Source organism: Homo sapiens, chromosome 6 (assembly GCF_000001405.40).
Source record: "Homo sapiens chromosome 6, GRCh38.p14 Primary Assembly".
Classification (NCBI taxonomy): domain Eukaryota; kingdom Metazoa; phylum Chordata; class Mammalia; order Primates; family Hominidae; genus Homo; species Homo sapiens.
Genome location: NC_000006.12, coordinates 20,027,609 through 20,031,218, shown reverse-complemented (window position 1 = coordinate 20,031,218; position 3,610 = coordinate 20,027,609). Strand labels below are relative to the sequence as shown.

Below are 3,610 nucleotides of genomic sequence, written 5' to 3'. Positions count from 1 at the left end.
GAGAATCAATGGTATGGTTTGTCTAATGACTACTTGGAAAGACCTTGAGTGTGTTATAGTCCAATGGGGGACAGTGGCAAAGCCTTTGGGAAGGGCCATTGGTTGAGTGGAAGAAGATATACAACTGGATAGAGCCAGGGATGTTGGGGAAGCCAGTACGATGCTGCCAATCTGCTACTTTGCACTTAACTGGACTTAGTAACCGTGAACCCTACTGCCTCCTCAATTTTTTTTTGAATTTAATTTTTTGTGTAACCGATCCCAATTTAGAAGCCAAAATCAAGCCTTCCGGTTTTTGACCTTGTTTCCTGTTGTTTTGTCTCTATTTCACTCCAGATCCTAATCTTAGAGGCTCTGACCTCCCTGGTAACCTTACCCAGATTCTGAATTTCTCCCTTGTTAATATCTGATTCTATCTTTGTGTCTGGGCTGGGCCCTGGCTGTTGTACAGTTTGCTTTGGTAACTCAGGGAGAGAAGCCCAATCCCTTCCCTTAACAATGATACTTGGACACTTTCCCTCTCCTTGGCCATGCTGAGCTCTGATGTACACCCTACTTCTCCTGTCTCCTCTTCCCTGCTTCCCTCTCTCCTTTTCTTCATGACTCTGAAGAATCTTTAGGAAGTGAGTTTGAAAAAGCCTGGAAGGATGCTAGCTTCTCAGCTTAACATGCTTCTGTAAACTCTTGTGAACTTGCTCATAGCACGTGGGCTGAGATCAAGAGTTCTACCCTCTCTCTGGGGACTGAGGTCCTGGCCTTCTCAAGAGGATAGGGCTCAGGATGTAATGATAGAGTTCTTTTCCAGCCCCGAGAGAGTCGGCTCCTTTCTCCCTGTCACACACACGCGCGTGCATGTGTACACACACACACACAGGCAACACTTCACACCCATGATGATGATGATTATTAAAACAACAACTGTGGAAAATGAGCAGTGTTGGTGGGGATGTGGAGAAATTGGATCTCATGCATTGCTGGTAAGAAGGTAAAATGGTGCAGCCACTCTGGAAAGCAGTGTCACAGTACCTCAAAAAGCTAAATATAGAATTATCATATGATCCAGCAATTCCACTGCTAGGTATTTGCTAAAGGAATTGAAATCAGAGACACAGCAGATACTTGTACTCTAATGTTTATAGCAGCATTATTCACAAGAGCCAAAAGGTAGAACCAACTTAAATTCATCTATTGATAAAGATGAATAGATAAACAAAATGAGGTATATACACACAATGAAATAGTATTCAGCTTTAAAAAGAAAAGACATGCTTCAACATGGATGAAACTGGGAAACATTATGCTAAGTAAAATAAGCCAGACACAGAAGGACAAATGCGTATAATTCCGCTTATATGAGCTACCTAGAGTAGCCAAATCCACAGAAGCAGAAAATAGAATGATGATTTCCAGGACTGAAGGGAGGGAGAATAGGGAGTTATAATTAAAGGGGTTCAGAGTTTCTGTTGACGATGATTAAAAAGTTCTGGAGATGGACAGTACTGTTGGTTGTACAACATTGTCAGAGTATTTAATGCCAATGAATCATATGTCAAAATGGTTAAAATGGAAAATGTGTTACATATACTTTACTACAATAAAAATACACAAACATGTTTACGTGTGTGCTTTGAAAGCTCACAATAAATGGATTATATAGTATATTACAGAGATACAGACATCTTTTATGGAAAAATGCCATGTTTTAGTTCATGATAACCTGTCAAGATGAGAAAAGTTGACGGGAGAACATCAAAGTGTGTAAAGAATTCTTTCCAGCTAGATGGCACCATATGCGGTTATATCTATTGCATGTTTAGTAATTAAATACAAAAGCAGCATTCTAAATAAAAACATCATGCTCTGTATTTTTATAATCAACTTTTCGAAAGTGCTAATAGTTTCTTTTTCATGCTAAGAATTGCATATCCTGCTGTTTTATTATGGAATATGTTTAAAGGGATATAAAAGTGACATGGAAAGGGAAGATAAAATAAACTGGGGCCATTAGCTCGGAGAAGGAAAGGTTAAGGTCAGCCATTCAGTGTGGGTGAAAGGGCCCAGGGTTGGGAGGCAGATTTGGGCTTTGGTTGTGCACCAACCAGTTTTATGGTGTTTTAGCAAATCATTTAACTTTTGGGGGCCTCAGTTTTCTCTTATATGTCTGTTACACAAAATAAGAGGGGTTGTACTAGTGTCATTCATTCATTCCCTGTATATTCACTGAGCATCTGCTTTGAATGAGGGACTCTGCTAGGGCATCCGTGTCCACTGGAGAGGACAGGAGGACCTGGTCCTGGCCATGCTGAAGCTTACAGCGTGATATGTCATCCTGCTGTTCTCCAAGGTGCCTTGCTGGTCTCTGGTTTTCTCATCTGTTTTCATCTTGTGAGCACATAGGGCTTCCTTCCTTCCGTCTGGCACTGAATTGCACTTGCCAAATAGCCCCTGTGAGTGTGTCATCACCCTTGCCAAATAGCCCCTGTGAGTGTGTCATCACCCCACAGACTGTGAATCCCAGAGGGCTGGAGGCCATGTCTTGGACCATCTTCAGCTAACGGTATACATTACACAAAATATATGCTCACTAAATGTCTTCCTGGCTTATGTTTCTAATTGTGAAAGTAATACAGTGATCAATTGGAAAACAGTGGATAGCAGAAAAGCATCAGGCCTAGATGGAGGCTATTGCTGTAGTCCAGGAGAAATGATGGGGCCTGAACTAGGGCGGTGAGCGAGGAGAAGACGGAAGCTGGGGGGAATGATACTTGGCAGGTGGAATTGGCCAGACCTGGAACCTTAAGAGCTGCCGGATGGGGACTCAGCAGGCGAAGCTGCTGGCCACACCCACAGGGCTGGGGTGAGCGGAACATCTTGGCCAGTGGGTGGGGCCCACTGTGAGGGAGTAAGAGGCAGGTGGCAGGTGGAAGCACTGGCACCTGGTGGGCGTCAGGAGATGCAGGGCTGTGGAGGGCGGGGTGAAACACAGGAAGTGAGGGGACAGGCCATGTGTGTCACCCTGGGCCCGAGTTAGCTCCTGGAGGACTGGCAGCAGATGGGAGGGCTGCTAGGGTGGAGCAGGGTCAAATTCTCTCATGGGGCTGGCAGAGTGAGTCAAGGACCAGGCTCGGGAGAAAAGTGTAACAGGTAGATCGTTAAGGCAGGGATCCGGAAAGGACGCATCATATTAGACCTGGGTACAGGGTGGGGACTTGGTAAGAGAGAAAAAGTAGAGTCAAGAATAAAACAGGGTTTGATGTTTATTCAGTTCTTCCCCGAGTCAGTAACTATCAACCATGTACCTAGTATGTGCCACACATACTGCTGGACCAGAGGGAGGTGCGGAAGGGAAGAGGTGATAAGACAGGAAGATCCCTAGCTCTGTAGAGCCTGCATCCTAGCGAGAGGGACCAGGAGAGGGACCAGGTAGATGGAGTAAGAGAGAGAGAGAGAGAGAGAGAGAGAGTGTGTGTGTGTATGTGTATAGGAAGGGAATACTGAAGGTCTGAGATATGAAGTTATTAAAGATTTTACAACAAATTATTTTTACTAAGGACAGGAGAAACTTCCAGAGTCTGGGTTTTGACAAATTATAGAGTTGTGAACAAGTGGG

General features: G+C 44.2%; 1 annotated feature.

The window, feature by feature from the left end:
• Positions 2,429 to 2,929: an enhancer, noted in NCBI's record as "H3K4me1 hESC enhancer chr6:20028521-20029021 (GRCh37/hg19 assembly coordinates)". NCBI's record gives its function as "activates a minimal SCP1, AML or CMV promoter by ChIP-STARR-seq in naive H9 embryonic stem cells {active_cell/tissue: H9 hESC(naive)}" and the evidence as "EXISTENCE:reporter gene assay evidence [ECO:0000049][PMID:30033119]".